This window comes from Homo sapiens, chromosome 16, assembly GCF_000001405.40.
Source record: "Homo sapiens chromosome 16, GRCh38.p14 Primary Assembly".
Lineage (NCBI taxonomy): Eukaryota > Metazoa > Chordata > Mammalia > Primates > Hominidae > Homo > Homo sapiens.
In genome coordinates this window covers 2,982,776-3,003,641 of record NC_000016.10, presented here as the reverse complement: position 1 = coordinate 3,003,641, position 20,866 = coordinate 2,982,776, and the positions used below count along the sequence as shown (strand labels likewise).

Genomic DNA, 20,866 nt, shown 5'->3' with positions numbered 1-20,866 from the left:
CCGGCTAATTATTATGGTCTTTAAATTTAAAAAAAAAATTTTTTTTAGACGGAGTCTCGCTCTATCCCCCAGGCTGGAGTGCATTGGCGCAGTCTCAGCTGCAACCTCCGCCTCCTGGTTCAAACGAGTCTCCTGCCTCAGCCTCCTGAGCAGATGGGATTACGGGCGCCCGCCACCATGCCCGGCTAATTTTTGTGTTTTTAGTAGAGACGGGGTTTCGCCATGTTGGCCAGGCTGGTCTCGAACTCATGACCTCATGATGCACCCGCCTCGGCGTGCCAAAGTGCTGGGATTACAGGCGTGAGCCACCGCGCCCGGCCTAATTATTATATTTTGTGTAGAGATGGAGTCTCACCATGTTGCCCAGGCTGGTCTCGAACTCCTGGGCTCAAGCGATCCGCCGGCCTCAGTCTTCCAAAGTGCTGGGATTCCAGGCATGACCCACCGCGCCCGCCCCCCGACGCCACCGATGTGGAGTGTGAGATTGTCCTCTCGTTGCTGTTTACCCATTGCAACTCAGGTATGAGGATCCTGTGTGGATGGGTCAAGGTGCACAGATTTCCATTCAGTTATCTTATAAGAAAGATAAAACGATATCACAATTCAAAAGTAAAGTTTGGTGATAATATACTTAGCATTTGTGTTAAAGTTCCTAAGAACAATTGTAAATGACAGATGGGTGCGAATCTGGTAGCTCAGAACAAAAAGGATAAAATGGTCAATCTATTCAAAATTGGAATATAGAAACTTTTTTTTTTTTTTTTTGAGACAGGATCTTGCTCTTTCGCCCATGCTGGAGTGCAGTAGTGCCATCATGGCTCACTGCAGCCTCGATCTCCTCGGCTCAAGTAATCCTCTCACCTCAGCCTCCCAAGTAGCTGAGACTACAGGCATGCGCCACCCTGCCAGGCTAAGTTTTTTATTTGTGGAGATGGGAGTCGCCGGGTGCGGTGGCTCACGCCTGTAATCACAGCACTTTGGGAGGCCGAGGCGGGCGGATCACGAGGTCAGGAGGAGATCCAGACCATCCTGGCTAACATGGTGAAACCCCGACTCTACTAAAAGTACAAAAACTTAGCTGGGCAGGCGCCTGTAGTCCCAGCTACTTGGGAGGCTGAGGAAGGAGAATGGCATGAACCCGGGAGGGGGAGCTTGCAGTGAGCCGAGATTGCGCCACTGCACTCTAGCCTGGGCGACAGAGCGAGACTCCGTCTCAAAAAAAAAAAAAAGAGAGAGAGAATCAAGAGAGTCAAGTCGATTATGTTTCTAATTGTTGTTTGAGATGTCTAAGGCTATTTCGTTAATCAGGCATTTAAGGCACGCAAAATATTTAGGGAAAAGTCGAGTTGTGAAATTCGTATTTGTTTTTATTTACTTATTTATTTTTTATAGAGATGGGGGTCTCACTATATTGCCCAGGCTGGTCTTTAAATTGTAGGCTCAAGCAATCCTCCTGCCTTGGCCTCCCAAAATACTGGGATTACAGGCGTGACCCACCATGCCTGGCCGAGCTGTGAAATTTATAAACTAATTAAGCATTCATCAAAGATTGTGAAAGTGAGTTTTACATCCAAATTATTAGTCAATACAATATCTGGAAGGCCACTATAAAAGCTTAAGGAAAATGAGATTTTTATCTAACAACTTTAATAAATCGATTATAAATGAAAACACAAAGAATGAAGTGTTCTTTTCCATGCACAAGGCCCCTAACTTGGATGTGGTTCCCCCGCTAGGCGGTCACCAAGTGATGCCCTCCCTGAGGGCAGGCGTTGATCGAGTCTGTTTTCTTCTCATGATTTCTCCTGTTGGGAACATGGTCCCTGGCACATGGCCTCATTGATGTTTGCCAAATGAATGAATGAGGTGCTGGGTGGTGGCTGCAGGCCCATGCCACTCCCACCCTGGTCAGCAAGCCCCTTGCATGGCACGCGGAGGCAAGCAGGGAAGCACGTTTGTGGTTCTAGCATGGAGGAGACCCCCGGCCAGGCAGCACCAGAGGCCAAGCCCAAGGGTCTGTCTTCCTTGCTGGGCAGGCGAGGGGCATTGCAGTGCTCAGCATTTCCCCAGAGGGCAGCGGCCTGGGAAGACATAGAGCTGGGCTAGGGAGGGGCGGGGCCCTGGTGAGGCCTTGCCCCCTCCTCCCCTCCCAGGGACCTGAGCTTCTGGGGTCAGTCACTCAGCAGCCACCTACAGGTGGCAGAACCTGCTATCCTTCCCAAGGGCTGGGTGTCCCCCAGTATGGCTGGAGGGGTGACCACGGGGGGCCTTTGGGCAGGCGGCTCGGCCATTGCGCCTCCCTCTCACCTCCGTAGCCATTCCCCAGCTGGCCATTGCTGCCTCTCTTCACGTCGGGGCCCCCTGTGGCACAGACAGACAGACCAGGAGCACTCGGGTCACCAGAGAGCTTCCGTCCACCCCAGCTTCAACCCAGGCTGTGGGAGACACCCCCTCCCCGGAGGGCCCAGGGCTCAGCTCTGCCTCAGTTTCTCAGAGGACCGGGGGGAGAGGGACAGAGTATGGAGAACTGAGTCCGTGATGGCCCTCGTTCCCAACTCCATCACCTCCCCTTCTTGGTCCAGTGTCTGGGCTGGCTCTCAGGGTCCCGGGCTCTTCTGGCCTCTCCTCCAGCTCCATTCCTTCCTGCTCCTTCCTGCCTATGCCCTCCTGGCCTCTTCTCACTCACTCCATCCCCTCCGCCAAGAGGGCTGTACCTTCTATCTCTGTGGGGCTGTGGGTAGACCTGGGCCCAGGGCCCAGTTCCCTGAAGCCACCTCTAATGGCCCCAACACACTCATCCAGGCATCCCGTTACCTGGCTGGCTCCTGGCCTCAGCATATTCATCTCCAGCCTGATATCCAGGCTTCAAGCCGGCCCCCCAGGCCTGGAGGGTGGGCCAGCGAGAGTTCCACAGCACCCCGGCCTGCCCTGTGGGGAGGAGAGCTGGCAGGGGTACCCTTGCCCACAGGAGCTGGGACCCCTGGCCCCTGTTGGGCTTGGCTCTGCTCCCAGAAGGCTCATTTCTTACCATTTCCTTCAGGGGCTAGAGCTGCTGCTTTGGGGTACACCAGAGCTTCCACCCCATCCCCTCCAAGAGACTCTGGTCATTCCCGCCTAGCCCCTGGGCTGTTGTCTCCCCCACTCCACTGCACTTTGTCCCCTGGGTCTGACTCACTATTCCTAAAACCATTGGCCCCATGGAACCCTGGAGGAGGAAAGAGGGTGTCAGAGGCTGGGCTGGGGCCCTGAGCCCAACTCTCCCACCCCGACCCCTGCTCCCCAGGCACCTGGCTGTGGGTGGGCCTCGGGGAAGACCCTGGCTCCCAGGACACCATTCCCATAACCTAAACCTGCAGGACAGAGATTGGAGAGGAGCTAGGGACAGGCTAGTGGAACAGGGACAGCATCAGGAGGGCCAGGTGACCAGCTCATAGACAGGGGGATGCGGACAGACAGACTGACTCAGGCATGAGGGAGATGCCAGCTTCCGCTCAACATGGGTCGGGGGCCCAGGAGGACTCACCAATTTTCTGTGGCTCGAGGCCACCATTAAAACCTGGGGGAGAGAAAACTGTGACTCAGAGATGGGGGTCAGCGAGAGCCACAGCCCTGGCCTCCCCTCTTCCTGGGATGGCAGAAGGAAGAGGAGGGAAGAGGAAGGGAAGGGAGGGGAGGAACTCCAGGAAGGGCCTCCTCACCTGGTTCTGCTCCCGGTCCATAGCCATTTGGAGGCTGGTGCCCTGTGAGGAGAAAGGAAGTCAGTGCGGGGGACCCAGGTCTCCCCTGACTCCTTGGAGGCCAAAGATCGACCTTAGGGACTCTGAAGGGGAAGCAGAGACTTTTCCTGTCCACAGGGAATGGAACCAGAAGAAATCTGGAGAGCAGCAAGAGACTGGGCGCAGTGGCTCACGCCTGTAATCCCAGCACTTTGGGAGGCTGAGGTGGGCTGATCACTTGAAGCCAGGAGTTTGAGACCAGCCTGTCCAATGTGACAAAACCCCGACTCTACAAAAATACAAAGATTAGCCAGGTATGGTGGTGCGTGCCTGTAATGCCAACTACTTGGGAGGCGTATTTTGCAGTGAGCCAAAATTGCACCACTGCATTCCAGCCTGGGCGACAGAGCGAGACTGTCTCAAAAAAAAAAAAAAAAAAAAAAAAAGAGCAAGAGGGTAGACTCGGGGAGGGACTTCCTGGCCTTCGGGTGCCTGAATAGCTTAGGCAGCCTAGGGAAAAAGGGTGATGGAGGGGTGACCCTGATCTGGGGTGGAGACAGAGGATAGACCTAGCTGAGAGTTTGTCCCTCTGGGATGTGGGGCCTGGGGGCAGACAGACTCACACCTGCTTTCTGAGGTTTCAGTCCCCACTGGATGGCTGGCATTGGTGCTAGGAGGAAGGTTAGGGGCAGGAGTGAGCCCAGCCGAGGGCTTGAGAGACTGCAGATGCCATGGGGCAGGGATGGAAAGGACTCCCATACTGGGGACCACATGGGGTCCCAGGGCCAGAGTTCAGGCTTCTCCTCAGCAGATCACTGTGTGACAAGTCACTGCCCTCTCTGAGCCTTGGCATCCGAGGACAGAGTGGGATATGGCAGCCAGGCCCTGACCCTCATAGGGCCAGGTGCTTCCCAGTGCCCCCTAGGCACCCCCACTCCACACTGACCTGGTAACTTGCCATTCTGCACTGCGGAAGGGGGCTGGGATTTCAGGCCCCAGCCACCCTCTTTGTCCGAAGGGACCCCTGGAGTGGGAAGCCTGGGGAGGAGCATCGGAGCGACCCTCGCATTGCAGGGACCTACGATGGGAAGGAAGGGAGGGGTGGGGCTATGCTCCAGGCCAGTCCTCACCGACGCCACCCAGGAGGCCTTGGCCTGGCCAAGCCACCGGCCTGTAGTGGCTTCTAGGGCAGACCCAGCACCTTAGGGGGACATTAGCCAGGCTGGAAAAAGCCCAGCTCCCTTGGTCCACACTCTCCTGGGGGGACCTGGGGATCCAGGCAGGGGATAGAGGGATGTAGGGATCTGGCAGGGATGGGGCTCCTGATGGAGGCCCCTCCGTCTTCCAGCAGCCTCCCTCTCCCTTCCTCCTGGGCCCCCACCCCTGGTCCCAGTGGCCTCACCTGGCCAGGGCCCATTTTCATGGCCGTGTCCTGGAGAGGGAAAGCAGAGATGAGTGTGGCAACACTGGGGGCAGAGGCTAGAAGGGCTGAGAGGCAGAAGGAGGTGTGGGGCAGAGCCAGGGGTCCCCCACTCACCTGACTTCTGAGGCTTCAAGGTCCCTCGCAGGCCTGGGGAGAGACAGAAAGAGGCCAGTTCAGACATCAGCCCACCCGAGGAGTGTAGTGAACCCCTCTCTCCCCTGCTGATCCCCCTAGCCCCGTCTTTTCACCTGGCAGGAGCCCCAGCCAGGTCCCTGGTGTGTATCCTGGGAGGGAGAGCAGGGCATGAGGGCGGGGTTGGAGTGGGGGACCTTGGAGAAGGCAGGAAGAGGGGCAGAGAGCAACTCGGCTTTGGAGGTTTCTGGCTCTCTCCCAGGCCAGAGACCCATGGAGAATAATGGACAGGCCCACCCCACCCCACCCCTTCCCCCACTGAGACCCAACTCTGTCCGTTGGAGCCTGTCCTCCTTCCCCTCTGCTCCAGGTCCCACCCACCTCCCTCACCTGGCTGGGCTCCTTCCCACAGGAAGGCTCCAGCTCCAGCCCGTTCTTGCACCATGGGGAGACAGGGTACAGCTTGGGAGGGGAAAAGGGTGGAGGGGTAGGCAGTTTCTGCAGGTAGGGAGAGTGAGGAGTGGGAAGGGCTTACCTGGCTTCTGAGGTTTCATGCCCTCTCCAGCACCTGGAGAGATGCGAGTAGGTGAGGGACCCATGCCCACTCCTCACTGAGGGGTCTCTTCCAGACCTGGCATCTGTCCCCCACCTGGTGCCCATGCCAACCTCCCCTTCCTGGTCCATGACCAGTGGGAACTGCAGGGTCTGTGGGGGCGGCATGGGGAGAGGTTGGGGTACAGAAGGGGGCTGGAGCCTGGCCCCCCTTTCCTCCCAATTTAGGAACTGGAGCTCCCAGCACCTCCCTCCCCCTTGTGCCGCCTCCTCTCCAGACTCTACCCCGTCTAAGGCTGCAGGAGCCCCCAAGAAAACCCTCAGTACAGGGTCAGGGGAGAGCCAGGCCCCCACCTCTTTCCTCCTTTCTGCACTCCCAGCAACTCCAGCCCCCCAGTACCTGCTCTGTAGCCATTCTGGGCTAAGGGGCCTGTGGGGAGGGAGGGGTGAGCAGGGGGTTTGGGATTCTAGCTAAGGAGAGGGCGAAGGGCCTTTGGATCCCCTTTCAGAGCCAAGTCAGAAACCAGGGATCCTGGCGCCACCTCTCCTCCCTCATTTTGGTGTCCACCTGCTCTGGAGGCCTGGGAGGGAGACAGGGACATCAGCCCGACACCCCCTCACTGGCTCGGCTCCCAGCCCCCTCCTGAATGCCGATGGAGCTGAGGTGGGGTATGAATGAGGGAGGGAGCTCAGGGTTTGGGGGAGGCAGAGGGACAGGCGGGGCAGGGCTCACCTGGCTTCTGGGCCTTCATAACCCCCAAATAGCCTGGTGAAGAGAAAGGGAGCAAGTGAGGGACCCAAGGCCTCCGCTCTGGACCTCCTGGAACCCCAGCCCTGCCCCTTCCTGGTCCATAGCCGTTTGGAGCTCCCAGGCCTGTGGGGCAAAAAAGGGAACGTGGTAAGGCTGAGCCACTGGGGGACAGGGAGGCAGGGGCCAGGAAGGGGGCTCTCAGTCTCTCCCCAACCTCCTCTCCCCTCGGTCCTCGGTGCTCCTACAGACCTCCCCTCACTCATGAGGCAGGGGTCACCCCTCCCCTGGGAGTCCCACGCAGACCCAGCTAGAACACCAGGATCTAGGGGAGGTGGGGCCACAGACACAGGCAGTCCCCTCACCTGGCATCTGAGGCTTCATCCCCGCTCCTAGGCCTGGGAGAGACAGAGAGGCTGACATCAACTCCAGCCAGTGCTGCTGATCCCCAGACCCCAGCTCTCTGTCCCTGTGGCCTCAGCTTCTCTCTTCCCGTCCCACCTCCCGACCCCTCGCGAGCCAGGCCCAGCTGCCCTCACCTGGCTGGACTCCCGGTCCATTTCCATGGCCATATTCTAGGGGGAGGGACGGGGAGGGTGTGAGACGGCGGCATTCGGAGGGGGTGTCAGGAGGACGCAGCCCTAGAGACAGGGCGGGGGCCCAGGGCCCTGGGAGGGGGCCTGGCTCCCCCTCCCAGGCCTACAGAGAGACACAGAGGCAGAGCCACATCCGGCCAGCCAGTGGCACTTAATTCCCCAGGATTCAGACCCACACTCTGCCCTCCCGGCCCCCTGGCCCGATCTTTGTCTTCCCCCTTCCCTCTAAGAAGCCTGGGCTCAGCCCGGTGCGGTGGCTCACGCCTGTCATCCCAGCACTTTGGGAAGCCAAGGCAGGTGGATCATCTGAGGTCAGGAGTTCGAGACCAGCCTGAGCAACATGGTGAAATCCTGTCTCTACCAAAAATACAAAAATTAGCCAGGTGCGGTGGTGGGTGTCTGTAATCCCAGCTACTTGGGAGGCAGAGGTAGGAGAATTGTTTGAACCCAGGAGGTGGAGGTTGCAGTGAACCGAGATTGCGCCACTGCACTCCAGCCTGGGCGACAGAGCAAGACTCCATCTCAAAAAAAAAAAGCCTGGGCTCCTACCCCAGGTGTCCTCACCTGGCTGGGTTCCAGCCCCAGGGAAGGCCCCTGCTCTCAGCCTTTTCCCATATCCTGGAGAGGGAGGGAGCATGAGTAGAGTGCTTATGGCTTCAGGGGTTCGTGCATAGAGAGGCAGACCAGGGCGGGCGGGGCTCACCTGGCTTCAGAGGCTTCACATTCCCTCCAAGGCCTGGAGGAGATATAGGGGGGCTGGTGAGTGACTCAGGGGCCCCACCCACATTCTCCCCCAGCCCCTCCCCACCCCTGCTCCTACCTGCTCCAAATCCAAATCGGTTCTGGGCTGTCAAGACTATGGGGAGAGGAGGGTGGGGTGGGGATTTGGGGTTTGGTTGAGGTGGAGGTAAGGGAATCCTGGAGGCTTCCTCCCAGCAGCCCTTCAGTTATTCACCAGCTCAGCCCCCCATGAGACTGGGAAGGGAGGCAGGGAGAGGACGCCCCAGGGGTAGAACCCCAGACCCCATCTGTCTCACCTGGCTGAGCACTCAGCCCATTCCCATTCCCTAATCCTGGGGGACAGATGGAGGTGGGGGTGAGAGGGGGAAGGGGGCTCTGAACACTGGGGAGACAGAAGCCCGGGAGAGCCAGGCTTACCTGGCTCCTGTGCCTTCATGTCCCCTCTAAAGCCTTTGGGAAAATGGGGAGCAGATGAGGTACCTAGGAGCCCCCAACTCAGATCCACCCCAGAACCCCAGCATCTGGACCCCAGCTCCTCCCATCCCCCTCAGGACCTGCTCCAGGGCCATTCTGAGGTGGGGGGCTTGTCGGGGTGGGAGGGCTGAGCTAAGCTGGGGACACAGCGCCTATGGTTCCCCTTCAGGGCCAAGCCAGAAGCCAAGGATCTTGGAGACGCCCCGTCACCCCTCTCCATCATTCACCAATCCCGCCCCTGGGAGGAAGAGGCCGCCCAGATGCAGACCCTGGAACCCCAGACTGTACCCCCTTCACCTGGCTGGGCTCCCAGCCCAATTCTGTACTGGAATCCTGGGGGAATAGATCAAGGCGGGGTATGAATGAGGGGAGGGAGCTCAGGTTTTGGGGAGGCAGAGGGACAGGCCGGGGCAGGGCTCACCTGGCTTCTGGGGTTTGACGGCCCCCACATAGCCTGGTGGAGAGACAGGGAGCAGGTGAGGAACCTGGGGCCCCAGCTCTGGGCCTCCCCAAACCCCAGCCCCGCCCCTACCTGGTCTATAGCCATTTTGAGTGGTGGGGCCTGTGGAGGAGAGAAAGGGTTAAGGCCCTCCGGAGCCCTGGATGCCATCTCCAGCCACCTCGGGCAGGGGTGTCCCCACCCCCAACTTCAACGAGCCAGAAAGGCAGGTTCCTTTCCTCAGCAGCCTCCAACTGTCAAGCTCCAGCTCCTGCCACATCTTGGGTCTGAGCTCTTTTTTTTATTTTCTTGAGATGGAGTCTCGCTCTTGTTGCCCAGGCTGGAGAGCAATGGCGTGATCTTGGTTCACTGCAACCTCCGCCTCCCGGGTTCAAGCAATTCTCCTGCCTCAGTCTCCTGAGGAGCTGGGATTACAGGTGCCCGCCACCACGCCTGGCTAATTTTTAGCATTTTTAGTAGAGACGGAGTTTCACCATGTTGGCCAGGCTGGTTTTGAACTCCTGACCTCAAGTGATCCGCCCGCCTAGGCCTCCCAAAGTGCTGGGATTACAGGCGTGAGCCACTGCGCCTGGCCAGGTCTGAGATCTTGCTGGAGCCTGTACCTTCTTTGTTCAAAACTCTCCTTTTGGTTCAGTTTCTCAGAGGGTTGGGCCACTCTCTCCTCCCTGGCCTCCACTGCCTCCTAAGAACTCCCAGAGCCCAGCTCTGGGGCAGCCTCAGCCCATACTGTATGCCCCAGCGTGGCCCTGGTTGGGGAGGGCCTGTCCCCAGCACCTGGTTGGCTCAGAACAGGCATGGTCCACGGATTACTTTGGTTGTTGTTTGTTTGTTTGTTTGTTTTTGAGACGGAGTCTTGCTTTGTCACCCAGGCTGGAGTGCAGTGGCACGATCGGCTCACTGCAAGCTCCGCCTCCTGGGTTCACGCCAGTCTCCTGCCTCAGCCTCCCGAGTAGCTGGGATTACAGGTGCCCACTACCACGCCCGACTGATTTTTTTGTATTTTCAGTAGAGACGGCGTTTCACTGTGTTAGCCGGGATGGTCTTGATCTCCTGACCTTGTGATCCACCCGCCTCAGCCTCCCAAAGTGCTGGGATTACAGGCGTGAGCCACTGAGCCCGGCCTGTCTGTTTTTTAAACAGGATCTCTCTCTGTCACCCAGGCTGGAGTACAGTGGCAAGATCTCCACTCACTACTACCTCGACTTCCTGGGCTCAAGTGATCCTCACCTCTCAGCCTCCAGAGTAGCTGGGACTACAGGCACGTGCCACCACAACTGGCTAGGTTTTTTTTTTTTGTAGATGGATTGCTTGAGCCCAAGATTTCAAGACCAGCTTGGGAATGTTGCCCAGGCTGGTCTTGAACTCCTGGGCTCAATTGATCCACCTAACTCTGCCTCCCGAACTGTTGGGATTACAGGTGTTAGCCACTGCTCCAGGCCTGGATTGGTTTGTCGAATGAGGTTTGTTGTGTGAGACCAAGTTGGGAGGCTAGAGATTGGGGCTCGCCTGCTCTCTGAGCCTTTAGTCCCCCTCCCAGGCCTGGGAAGAGAAGGGGAAGGACTTCCTGTGAGTCCACCCATCCCTTCCTCTCTGCTCAGGACCAGGGCCAGGCCCCTACATCAGTAACCCCCAACCCCTAAGACCTCCATGCTCCCAGAACTCCAGGGCCTTACCTGCCTGGGTTCCAGCTCCCAGGAAGGCCCCGACTCCCCACCCATTCCTATTCCCAAATCCCAGGGGACAGAGCCAAAGAGAATGGGGAGATCAGGGACTCTAGGGAAGCAGCGGCAGATGCATAGGAAATGGGCAGGGAGACAGGGACAGGGAGTGGCTCACCTGGCTTCTGGGGTTTTCCACCCCCTCCAAAGCCTGGGGGGAAGATGAGAGGGTGAGGGATCCTTTCCTCTGGGCCTGTGCCCAGAATCTCAGCCCCAGGCTCCCCGCTTCCGTCCCCACCCTCTTTACCTGGTCCAAAGCCATTTTGAGCGGCAGGACCTGTTTGAGGGCAGACACAGGAGTGTGGAAGGTGGTGCAGTGGGGATGAGCTGGGGCCTGGAGCCCTGCCCTCTCCCTTTCTGTCTCGCGTGACCCCTGCCCTCTGCCTTTCTGTCTTGTGTGAACTCCCTCCCAGGCCTGACTGCAGTCAAAGTTGGATTTGGTTCTTGGCCCGGGAGTCCAGACCGTGGCCACCCTTGACCAGCTTGGGTGTCCTCCATGGCCAGCCGAGGCCTGGCTTGGGACGGGTGCTCAGGGGAGATTGGGTGAATGAATGAACCCCCAAGAGCCCATCTGTTGGGACCCAGAGTGTGGCCCTGGGCCCCTGACCTCTCCCCCAGCCACCCCAGCCCCTTCGGCCCCGACCTGGCTGGGTTCCCGGTCCGTTTCCATTGTTGTATCCTGGGAGGAGAAGCAGTGTGTGAGGGGTGGATCTGGGGAGGGCTTGAGGGTGGGACAAGGCCATAGATGCAGGGGAAACAGTCAAGATAGGGGAGAGGAGAGCAGGGGCTCACGGACCCCACCCATCCCCTGTCCTCCCCCAGAAATAAACTTTCTGCCTTCTGGACCTCTGATATCCCCTGGTTCTTCCCTGTGTCTTCTAGAATCCCAGTGTGGTCCAGCTGCCCTCACCTGGCTGGGCTCCAGCTCCTAGGAAGGCCCCAGCTCCCATCCCATTCCCATCACCAGATCTTGGGAGACCGAGTAGAAGGAGGAAGCAGAGGCAGGGCCGGATGTGTGTATGTGGGGAGTGGAGGACAGGGACACAGGAAAGGGCAGGCACACCTGTCTTCAGAGGTTTCACCCCCCGCCCCATGCCAGGAATAGAGAGAGAGACCAGGTAAAGGAGGCTGCAGCTCCCTGGAGCCCCCAGACCCAAGCCCAGGCCCTCCGCAACACCCTACCCTCCCTGACCTGGTTTTGGGCCTGTGGGGTGAGGGAGGCAGAGGCTGGACCTAGGCCATGTGGAGTGCGGGTCCGTGGTCCAAACACCACCCAGGGCCACTGTGCTCCACACCCTGACAGTTCACTAAGGGCGCATGCCCAGGAAGCAGCTCAGAGGCCTCCACAGGAGTCCCCACCCACAGGAATGGCATTGGCAGGCCACAGAGGGACGAGTGCCTGGGGAGGGTAACACAGACCGAGAGGGGGACAGAGAGGGACAGGACATGGTGAGTGTGGCATGGAGGTGGCACACGGGCGGGGTCCTCCCTTCATCCGCTTCTGAGGTTCCCTCTTCCCCAGGCCTGGGGAGAGCTAGAAAGAGGCTGACATTGACCCTAAGAGCTCCTCCCCTAAGAATGAGGGTTGGGACCCTAAACCCTCCTGCCCGCCCCTCCCTGCGGCCCCTGCCCAGCCACCCTCACCTGGTGGGGTTCCTGCCCCTGGAAGAGTGCCAGCGCCCAAACCACTTCTGCTCCCCAATCCTGGGGAGACATTGGTGAGGGCCATGAGCGGTGGGGTGGGCAGGCTTGAGGGACCCAGAGGCGCCTGGATATAAGTGGGCAAGGCGGGGCAGGGCTCTGCCTCACCTGGCTTCGGAGGTTTCACGCCCACTCCCAGGCCTGGGAAGGGACAGAGTGGCTGAGCCCTGCCCTCCCTCCAGAGCCCAGCTCTCCCAGCTCCTGGTGCCCTGACTCTGCTCTGCCCCTTCCCCCTCCCTCCTGGAAGCCCAGGTCCTGCCACACCCGACGTTTCCTCACCTGACTGGGCTCCGGCCACTGGGAAGGCCGCTGCTCCCAGCCCGTTTCCATATCCTGGGGAGACAGAGCCAGAGGGACATGAGGAGGGGGAATGGGGCGTCAAGCAGAGACAGAGACAGAGGGTGGGAAGTGGACACTGGGACAGGTGTGGGGCGGCCTCGCCTCTGGCTTCTGGGGCTTCTCAGCCCCTCCAAAGCCTGGGAAGAGAGATGGGCAGATGAAGGGGCCCCACCTCCCCGCCCTGGGCTCCCTGCTCCACAGCCACACCGAGCTGAGGCAGGGGTGAGGCCCAGGTGCCCCTGTCCCCTTACCAAGCCAGACATCAGAACTCCTCACCGTCCCCTCCTGCCCACTTCCCGTGAGACACCCACCTGTTCTGCCCTCTCTGAGGCCTGGGAGCCTGGAGAAGACCCTGGAAACACCGATCTGGCTGCATTCCCTCCCCCACAGTATCAGGCAAAGATTAGGCACCCCCAAGCCCCTCCCATTCCTTACCCGCTTCCCCCAGCCTCACCTGGCTGGGCTGCAGCACCTGCGAAGGTCCTGAACCCTGGGGCGAGAAGGCAGGAGGGAGTCAGGAGGAGGGAGGCAGGCAGGGGCTGGGCGAGCCTCACCTAGGTTTTGGGGTTTCATGCCCCCTTCAGTGTCTGGGAAAGAGAGGGGGATCAGATGAGGGGCTCAGGAATCCCCATCCCAGGGATACCCCTAGAATCCTGGCTTCCAGCTCCCCCACTCCCATCTCTACCTGCTCCATAGCCATTCTTAGTGGAAGGGCTCGTGGGAGAGAGAGAGGTGAGCTGAGGAGGTTTGGGGTCCCAGCTGAGGTGGGGGTACAAGACCCTTGAACCCCCCCTTGGACTAAGCCAGACACCAGCAAACCTGAGAGGCTCTCTGCGCCTCCCCCCAACAATCTCTCCAATCCTGCCTCTTCCGTCTGAGGCCTGGGAGGGAGGGAAGGAGGGGACCCCACGGCTCTCACCTGGCTGGGTTCCCAGCCCATGCCTGACCACGAATCCTGGAGAGACAGATGAGGTGAGGTGAGGAGTGTGAGAGAAAGAGGGGGAGACAAAGAGCTGGGGCCGGGGCAGGGCTCACCTGGCTTCTGTGGCTTCACGCCCCCATCATAGCCTGGAGAGACAGGGAGGTGAGGGACACCCCTCCCCCAGGATCTCCCCAGAGCCCCACACCTGGCCCACAGCCTATCCAAGCAGTGGGCCTGTGGGAACTCAGTCCCTTCCCATGATGGGGGAGGGCTGTGGGGCACAGGTGGGTGCTATCAGCCTCCTTCCCTCCCTCCTTCCCTCTCTCCTTCCTTTCTGCTCTCTTTCCTTTCTTCCCTCCCCGCTCCATTTCTTCCTGCCTGCCTTCCCCTCTCCCCAGCCAGGGTGCCTGGGGGACACTCTGGGGCTATGCTCTGTCCCCATGTATTTCTGAGACGACTGCTTCCCCCTTTACCTGCCCCCCGCCCAGCTTTCCCTGTTCCTGTCCTGCCTCCCCCCTGCCCCGTGCCCTGCCCTCAGACGCCTCCCTTCCCTATGCCAGGCCTCACCTGCTCCCAGGCCACTGTGGGGGCCATAGACTGTGGGAGAAGTGAGATGTTGAGCCCGGGGTGCTGGAGCAGCTGGGAGCCGGTGTGCCACCCTCCCCAAGCACCCCGCCACCAGCTTTACCAGATCTGTAGCCATTTGGGCTCCCTAAGCCTGTGGGGTTCAGGGGGAAGCAGGGGAACTTACAAGGGGACAAAGGGGCCCAAATCTGGATGCCACCTCCCTTTCCAGGTCTCAGTTTCCCTGCTGTCACAGGAGGGTAGAGGGCAGAGGAGGTGAGCAGTCTGGGGCTAGGGCAGTGGAGGCTAGAGGGCCCCTGGGCCTGGAGGAAGGTGTCTGAGCCAGGGCTCTGGGGGACTGTGGGGCAGAGCCCACTCCACCCTCTTCCTCTCCTCTCCCATCCATTCTCAGTACTGGGCTCCTCTCCCTTCATGGAAATCTCCTCCTCTTCTTCTCACCACCTCTGCCCCCCATCTTTCTCTCCTGAAGCTCAGATGCATCAGGGCTCAGGGGCAGCCCCTCCTTCTACCCTTAGGACCCCCCAGGTCCCTGAAGTAAAGACTCTTCCATGACACTCCACCTCCTGCCCCTCAGCAGGCTCAGTTCTCCTTGTCCCCTCCCTCCTCTCCCCCTCCGGCCCCCTTTGGCCTGCCGGTGGGTCCGCCCCTCCTGTCACACCTGCCCACCCTTCTCAGCCTGCCCAGGCCCGTCCTCAGGGCTGCATGTTCTGCCCCGGGAGACTCTTCTGAGAGTGCAGGGTGTCTGTGCTCCCCACCCTTGAGTGGACACTTGATGAGACTCCCTGCCCGGAAGACAGCAAGGGCCCTGAGCTCTCCTGGGCCCCGCATCGGGAGTCCCAGAGAGCTCCCACACCCCCAGGGCAGGAGAGATGGGAGACTCTTCCTGACCCCAGTGCCAGAGGGCCCACCTACCTTTCCCCAGGCCAGGAGGCAGAAGGGGCAGCCCTGCGGAAGCAAGACAGTGCTGACTCAAGGCTGGGGACCCCAGAGGCTGAGATGGGGCAGCGCCCAGGCATCTATCCTCCAGCCCCCAAAAACCCTCACTGTCTGAATTCTCTGCCCAGACCAGGCTTTCCACACCCCAGCCCTCCTTGTCTCCAGAACCCCAGCATCTGGCCAGGGCCCCACTTGGACCCCCAGCCCCAGTCACAGATGCCCATTCTCCAACCCCCAGCCCCAAGCTGCCCTCACCACCTTGCAGGCTCTCGGAAGTCAGGCAGAGAAGGAAAAGGGCTGCGGGGAAGGCCCAGGCGCCCATGACTCTAGGCAGAGTGGGAGGGCCCACGCCCTTTGGGCCTTTAAACACCCCTGGCTGGGTGGGGACCCTCGCCCAGGCCCCCCAGCTGTGAGAGGCAGAGGCTCTGCCTGCAGACCCTGGGGGGTCACCCCCACCTCCCCCTGTGGCAGGAGTCTAGCTCTGGCCCCTCATCCATCATGGGCGCTGACAGCAGGACAGGCCCCCTAGACTTCTCCGCCCCTGTCAGCGACTCAGGCCCTGGCGCCAGGCCCAGAGGGCTCAGATGTCCCCCCAGCAAGGGGCAGGCAGGCACCCTAGGCCCAGCCCAAACACAGCTGGGGAGAGGGCGGGAACCAGGGCTTTGGAGTGTTGCAGACAGCAGGGGTGGGGGTGACAGCATCTCAGACCCTGTCTGACAGGCGGGTGGTGTTCCCAACAAAAGCCAGGTGTCATCCCGTCTAGTCCTGAGACCACACAGACCCCACCAGGGGGCCCTTTGTCCTCATGGAGGCTCAGCCTGCCAGAGTGGGCCAGAGCCCCCAACTTCAGAGCCACCCCTTCCTCCTCCCTCCTCCTTCCATGAGGGGCAGGGACACAGGAGGACGGGCCAGCTGTGCCCAGCCTCTCTGAGAGTCCGCGGAGGCCTTCCAGCTCTGCCTCGTCTCCTGCCCCAGCAGTGACTCTAACTTTGGGTCACAGACTAGGGGAGCCACCACACAGTGTTGGGGGGCAGGACCGCAGGAGAGGCTGAGGAGAGGACGTGGGGGGCTGCGAGCAGCTCTCCATGCCTGGGGCTGGGTGGATGGACTTGGAGCCGGGGCCCTGTGCTGGGGGCCTGGCAGGGAGGCACTGGGCATGGGGGTCTGGACAACAGGCATCACGCCCCAATGAGCCTGCAGACCCCACCAGGCTGGCTGGGGACGGCAGTGACTCAACCCCTAGCCCCTGCACCCTGGTCCAGAAGGCCCCACACCCTGTCTGTCTGCTGGCCTGTCCCTGGCCCAGCCAGCCCCTCCTGGTACCTCTGGCTAAGGAGTCCAGCCTGCCAAGCCAGTCAGCCCAGCTAGGCTGGGGGTCTGCAGAAGGGCTATAATGAGGAAGGGGCAGCAGGGGCTTCTCCGAGAGAGGCTACTGAGCCCACACCTCTGCGGCCAGGTCCAGCCGCCAATAGACTACAGGGTTAATTACCACCAGGTACCCTCACTCATAGGCCAGCCCAGCACTGAGGTCCCTGTGCCCCCTCCCTCTCTGCCTCCCCTCTCACCCACATCGTAGGCTGTGCCCCACTGCTGCTCTGCCCACACATGAAGCCATCCCCAGGGCTCACACCCACAGGCACACCACGATGCCTGCGGTGCCCACCTCCCAACCACAGACCCACCTGTGCACGAGGACTGTCTGCTCACGGCAGGCCCCCTCAGCCCAGCGCCTCAGAACAGTGCCCTGAACCGCCCCCCCACCGTCCTGCCTGGCAGACAGCCATGAGTTGGGGTCCCCGAGGCTGGACCTTCATGGGCTGCTGACAGGGGCTCAGGGATGCTCCCTGGCCCCATCCATCCTATGAGTGCCCAGGGTAGCTGGGACGGTCCATTCAGACTCCTGGAGAGGGCTTTCCTGCCAGGCCACCTGCCCCGCCCATGGCAGCAGGCGCATGTCCCCCGTGTATTCACGGAGGGCAGCCGAGTAGCCCCGGGGCTAGCAGCTGGGTGCTGGATTCACACAGGGTGCAAACACCCACTCCATCTGGTTCGGGGCCTTCCCGAGTGTGTTCACTCTCCCCTAAAATGACAAGAAGAGCAACTCTGTGTTGGGGCTACTGGGAGGAACTGCTGCTTATCCTCGTTTGCAGATGGGGAAACAAAGGCAGGGGGAAGGGACTTGGCTCAGATTGTGCAACTCTGGAGCAGTGGGGCTGAGATCTGAACCCCAGCAGTCTGGCAGTCCCCACGTCTGCTGTCCCTGCTCTCAAGCACCTTACATGCTTACAGGCGGGCAGTAGGCCCAGTTATGCCAGATGGGACGAGGTGTCTGCTTCAGACCTGGGCCGGCTGAGAGCTCCTACACAGACACATGGCTTGCCCTGCAGGGCGCTGGGAAAGCGTAGCCCAAGAGGAGGCAGGCGGGAAACCAGGAGACGCCCTGTGGGAGGTAACGGATGGGCGCCTGCTTGGCCACTGCCAGAGGGAACACCAGTGCCCGCTACCACTGCCAGGCTGCCTGGTGCTGGCATGACCTTGGAAAATGCCAGCCAGCCCAGGGCCTCGGGCCAGCCTGACAGCCACTCAGGACCAGGCTGGACCCAGTCGGGTGTCCCAGCCCCTGCAATGCCGCCACTCCGACTCCCAGCACAGCCAGTCCTCTCTGCTCACCCCCAGACCCACCCAGGCAGGGCCTGCCTGACAGCACAGAGACTGTGTGTGGGCTGGGAGAGCCCCTGATGGAGTCTTGACCTGGGCTACCCTTTGCTCCCAGGCACCCTGGCCTGAGGGGACACAGCACAGCCTCGGAACAGAGCAGCAGCTATGAGGGGCTAGGGCTGAGGGCCAAGGGCAGGGTGAGAGCAGGGGTGTTGGAAGTGCTGGACCCAGGCCCAGGAAGTGCATTGCCTAAAATGGCAAGAGACTCCCTGCCAGCTGCTTGACACCAGTGGCACCCGTGAGGGCAGGAATTTGGGGAGGACAGCTGGAGCGGTGGCCAGGCGCCAGCCGGGCGGACAGCTTCTACACTCGCAGCTGTGCTGAGCGTCCTGCAGGCCACTCTGTTTGGGCAGCTCTTCAGCCCAAACCCAAGCATCGGAGCCTCCAGTATACCTTCCTAGGCATCCCAAGGCAACTCACACCAGCAAAGGTGACCTCTACAAACTCCTTCTCCCCACCCATCTGCCAGTTTGTTAAAACGTTATGCAGGCCTGGTGCAGTGGCTCATGCCTGTAATCCCAGCACGTTGGGAGGCCGAGGTGGGGTGATCACCTGAGGCCGGTAGTTCAAGACCAGCCTGACCACATGGAGAAAACCTGTCTCTACTAAAAATACAAAATTAGCCGGGCGTGGTGGCACATGCCTGTAATCCCAGCTACTCTGGAGGCTGAGGCAGGATAATTGCTTGAACCCGGGAGGTGGAGGTTGCGGTGAGCCGAGATCGCACCACTGCACTCCAGCCTGGGCAACAGGAGTGAAACTCCGTCTTAAAACAAAACAAAACAAAACCAAACCTTATGCAATTCCTTTGGTGTAGTGTCAGAAAAATAAAAGCCTTATGCAAGTGTGGCCAGGCACAGTGCTCATGCCTATAATTCCAGTACTTCAGGAGGCCGAGGCAGGAGGATTGTTTGAGCCCAGGAGCTCGAGACCAGCCTGGGCAACATAATGAGACCCCCGTCTCTACAAGAAATTAAAAATTAGCCAGGGTTGGGTGGTGCACCCCCGTGGTTCCAGCTACTTGGGAGGCTGAGGTGGGAGAATCACTTGAGCTTGGGAGGTTGAGGCTGCAGTGAATCGTGATCATACTATTGCCTGGGCAACAGAGTGAGACCCTGTCTCAAAAATAATCAAAACACAGGCTGGGCGCGGTGGCTCACGCCTGTAATCCCAGCACTTTGGGAGGCCGAGGCGGGTGGATCACCAGGTCAAGCGATTGAGACCATCCTGGCCAACGTGGTGAAACTCTGTCTCTACTAAAAATAAAAAAATCAGCTGGGCATAGTGGTGTGCGCCTGTAATCCCAGCTACTCGGGAGGCTGAGGCCGGAGAATCGCTTAACCCGGGAGGTGGAGGTTGCAGTGAGCCGAGATCGCGCCACTGTACTCCAGCCTGGCAACAGAGCAAGGCTCCGTCTGAAAATAAATAAATAAATAAATAAATAAAATAAAAAACCTTATTCAAGTGTGAAACATAGCATGCAAAGATTAGCACACATGAGATGTGAATGTGCCGTGCAGCTATCGTACTTATGAGACAAACCCCTATGCACCCAGCACCTGGGTCAAGAAGTAGAACATAGCCAGTTCCGCAGAAGCACCCATCACAGTCCCCTTCCTCCCATTAGGATAGCCACGTTTGCACTTGTGGTCGTCATTCCCTCGCTTTTTTTCTTTTGAGACGGAGTCTTGCTCTTGTCGCCCAGGCTGGAGTGCAGTCGCGCCATCTCGGCTCACTGCAACCTCCGCCTCCCGGGTTCAAGCGATTCTCCTGCCTCAGCCTCCTGTGTAACTGGGATTACAGGCGCCCGACACCACGCCTGGCTAATTTTTGTGTTTTTAGTAGAATCGGCGTTTCACCATGTTAGCCAGGCTGGTCTCAAACTCCTGACCTCAGGTGATCCGCTCGTCTCGGCCACCCAAAGTGCTAGGATTACAGGCGTGAGCCACCGCGCCCGGCCTCGCCTTTCCTTTTGTGGCCGAAACCGCATGAGTGAGTCTTCCTTGGAGAGTCTGGGCGGAGCCGCGGGTGCTGTGGCGGCGACGGGACACACGGGGGCGCGCGCGGCCCGCGCCTGGTCGCGCGGGTGGGACTCGCGGGAACCGGGTGCCTGGGCGGCGGCTGGGAGGATTCCTCCTGGAAGGAGGTCGGCAAAGCGCTTTGGTCCGGAACCCTGTGGGCCCGTGCCTCGGTCCCTGTGACCCCAAGGTGGTTAGAGGAGTCCGGGCTTCTTTCCTCCTGGGGCCTCTTTTTGGCCCAGACTGCAGCGTTGAAAACTGCAACAGACTGTACAGATGAGGGGGTCTTACTATTTTATTATTATTATTATTATTATTATTATTATTATTATTATTATTAATTTGAGACCGAGTCTCGCTCTGTCGCCCAGGCTGGAGTGCAGTGGCGCCATCTCGGCACACTGCAGCATCCACCTCCTGGGCTCAAGCGATCCTCCCACCTCACCCTCTTGACTAGCTGGGAGCACAGGTACACACCACCATGCCCAGCTAATTTTTGAATGTTTTGTAGAGACAGGGTTTTGCCATATTGCCCAGGCTGGTCTCTAACTTCTGAGCTCAAGTGACCTGCCCGCCTCAGCCTGCCAAATTGCTGGGATTACAGGCGTGACCACCTCGCCCAGCCTGTTATTCTGAAACAATGAGTAAGCCCCTACTGTGTGTTCGGCTCTGTGCTAAGCACTTCACAGGCATTTTCTCATGTGGTGCTCATACTCCCCGAGGAAGGAGGAACTACTATTATTATCACTTTATATTTTTTACAGGGTCTCACTCTGTTGCCCAGGCTCACTGCAGCCTTTTTTTTTTTTTTTTTTTTTGAGACAGAGTCTCGCTCTTGTCACCCAGGTTGGAGTGCAGTGGTGCGATGTGGGCTCACTGCAACCTCTGCCTCCCAGGTTCAAGCAATTCTGCCTCAGCCTCCCGAGTAGCTGGGATTACAAGCGCCTGCCATCACACCCAGCTAATTTTTGTATTTTTAGTAGAGAAGGGGTTTCACCATATTGGCCAGCCTGGTCTCGAACTCCTGAGCTCAAGTGATCCACCTGCCTCAGCCTCCCAAACTGCTGGGGTTACCAGCATGAGCCAC

General features: G+C 59.6%; 1 protein-coding gene across 22 annotated transcripts, besides 12 other annotated features; it reads right to left on the bottom strand.

Moving 5' to 3' along the window:
• Nucleotides 1,626-2,162: an enhancer, noted in NCBI's record as "H3K4me1 hESC enhancer chr16:3051481-3052017 (GRCh37/hg19 assembly coordinates)". NCBI's record gives its function as "activates a minimal SCP1, AML or CMV promoter by ChIP-STARR-seq in naive H9 embryonic stem cells {active_cell/tissue: H9 hESC(naive)}" and the evidence as "EXISTENCE:reporter gene assay evidence [ECO:0000049][PMID:30033119]".
• Nucleotides 1,631-15,380, bottom strand: GREP1 (glycine rich extracellular protein 1). 22 transcript variants are annotated; one of them, NM_001396458.1, is made up of 33 exons: nucleotides 15,302-15,380; nucleotides 15,020-15,052; nucleotides 14,090-14,119; nucleotides 13,636-13,668; nucleotides 13,520-13,555; nucleotides 13,055-13,090; nucleotides 12,541-12,594; nucleotides 12,205-12,264; nucleotides 11,204-11,239; nucleotides 10,808-10,837; nucleotides 10,679-10,711; nucleotides 8,915-8,944; nucleotides 8,804-8,836; nucleotides 8,680-8,715; nucleotides 8,326-8,358; nucleotides 7,988-8,023; nucleotides 7,871-7,903; nucleotides 7,732-7,785; nucleotides 7,111-7,146; nucleotides 6,937-6,969; nucleotides 6,557-6,697; nucleotides 5,807-5,839; nucleotides 5,254-5,286; nucleotides 5,119-5,148; nucleotides 4,663-4,794; nucleotides 3,699-3,740; nucleotides 3,524-3,556; nucleotides 3,288-3,350; nucleotides 3,176-3,205; nucleotides 3,029-3,088; nucleotides 2,815-2,928; nucleotides 2,308-2,361; nucleotides 1,631-2,081 (listed from the first exon to the last, which is right to left on the bottom strand). In NM_001396458.1, exons 1-33 carry the CDS (start codon nucleotides 15,363-15,365, stop codon nucleotides 2,056-2,058), a joined length of 1,560 nt encoding a protein of 519 aa, NP_001383387.1. In that variant the 5' UTR covers nucleotides 15,366-15,380; the 3' UTR covers nucleotides 1,631-2,055. The 22 variants fall into 22 exon arrangements, with proteins under 22 accessions (NP_001383387.1, NP_001383386.1, NP_001383385.1 ...); NM_001396457.1 differs by lacking the exons at nucleotides 3,029-3,088; nucleotides 3,176-3,205; nucleotides 3,288-3,350 and adding an exon at nucleotides 8,205-8,240; NM_001396456.1 differs by lacking the exons at nucleotides 3,029-3,088; nucleotides 3,176-3,205; nucleotides 3,288-3,350; nucleotides 7,732-7,785 and having other exon boundaries at nucleotides 6,557-6,589.
• Nucleotides 4,460-4,960: an enhancer, noted in NCBI's record as "H3K4me1 hESC enhancer chr16:3048683-3049183 (GRCh37/hg19 assembly coordinates)". NCBI's record gives its function as "activates a minimal SCP1, AML or CMV promoter by ChIP-STARR-seq in primed H9 embryonic stem cells {active_cell/tissue: H9 hESC(primed)}" and the evidence as "EXISTENCE:reporter gene assay evidence [ECO:0000049][PMID:30033119]".
• Nucleotides 4,961-5,461: an enhancer, noted in NCBI's record as "H3K4me1 hESC enhancer chr16:3048182-3048682 (GRCh37/hg19 assembly coordinates)". NCBI's record gives its function as "activates a minimal SCP1, AML or CMV promoter by ChIP-STARR-seq in primed H9 embryonic stem cells {active_cell/tissue: H9 hESC(primed)}" and the evidence as "EXISTENCE:reporter gene assay evidence [ECO:0000049][PMID:30033119]".
• Nucleotides 7,129-8,101: an enhancer, noted in NCBI's record as "H3K27ac-H3K4me1 hESC enhancer chr16:3045542-3046514 (GRCh37/hg19 assembly coordinates)". NCBI's record gives its function as "activates a minimal SCP1, AML or CMV promoter by ChIP-STARR-seq in naive H9 embryonic stem cells {active_cell/tissue: H9 hESC(naive)}" and the evidence as "EXISTENCE:reporter gene assay evidence [ECO:0000049][PMID:30033119]".
• Nucleotides 9,421-9,922: an enhancer, noted in NCBI's record as "H3K4me1 hESC enhancer chr16:3043721-3044222 (GRCh37/hg19 assembly coordinates)". NCBI's record gives its function as "activates a minimal SCP1, AML or CMV promoter by ChIP-STARR-seq in primed H9 embryonic stem cells {active_cell/tissue: H9 hESC(primed)}" and the evidence as "EXISTENCE:reporter gene assay evidence [ECO:0000049][PMID:30033119]".
• Nucleotides 14,287-15,236: an enhancer, noted in NCBI's record as "H3K4me1 hESC enhancer chr16:3038407-3039356 (GRCh37/hg19 assembly coordinates)". NCBI's record gives its function as "activates a minimal SCP1, AML or CMV promoter by ChIP-STARR-seq in naive H9 embryonic stem cells {active_cell/tissue: H9 hESC(naive)}" and the evidence as "EXISTENCE:reporter gene assay evidence [ECO:0000049][PMID:30033119]".
• Nucleotides 15,237-16,188: an enhancer, noted in NCBI's record as "H3K4me1 hESC enhancer chr16:3037455-3038406 (GRCh37/hg19 assembly coordinates)". NCBI's record gives its function as "activates a minimal SCP1, AML or CMV promoter by ChIP-STARR-seq in naive and primed H9 embryonic stem cells {active_cell/tissue: H9 hESC(naive and primed)}" and the evidence as "EXISTENCE:reporter gene assay evidence [ECO:0000049][PMID:30033119]".
• Nucleotides 19,720-19,906: a silencer, noted in NCBI's record as "fragment chr16:3033737-3033923 (GRCh37/hg19 assembly coordinates)". NCBI's record gives its function as "represses an EF-1alpha promoter that drives an FKBP-Casp9 reporter gene in an ReSE screen in K562 erythroleukemia cells {active_cell/tissue: K562}" and the evidence as "EXISTENCE:reporter gene assay evidence [ECO:0000049][PMID:32094911]".
• Nucleotides 19,720-19,920: a biological region, named in NCBI's record as "ReSE screen-validated silencer GRCh37_chr16:3033737-3033923".
• Nucleotides 19,861-19,920: a silencer, noted in NCBI's record as "silent region_7099". NCBI's record gives its function as "represses an Ori minimal core promoter by ATAC-STARR-seq in GM12878 lymphoblastoid cells {active_cell/tissue: GM12878}" and the evidence as "EXISTENCE:reporter gene assay evidence [ECO:0000049][PMID:35858748]".
• Nucleotides 20,161-20,210: a silencer, noted in NCBI's record as "silent region_7098". NCBI's record gives its function as "represses an Ori minimal core promoter by ATAC-STARR-seq in GM12878 lymphoblastoid cells {active_cell/tissue: GM12878}" and the evidence as "EXISTENCE:reporter gene assay evidence [ECO:0000049][PMID:35858748]".
• Nucleotides 20,331-20,832: an enhancer, noted in NCBI's record as "H3K4me1 hESC enhancer chr16:3032811-3033312 (GRCh37/hg19 assembly coordinates)". NCBI's record gives its function as "activates a minimal SCP1, AML or CMV promoter by ChIP-STARR-seq in primed H9 embryonic stem cells {active_cell/tissue: H9 hESC(primed)}" and the evidence as "EXISTENCE:reporter gene assay evidence [ECO:0000049][PMID:30033119]".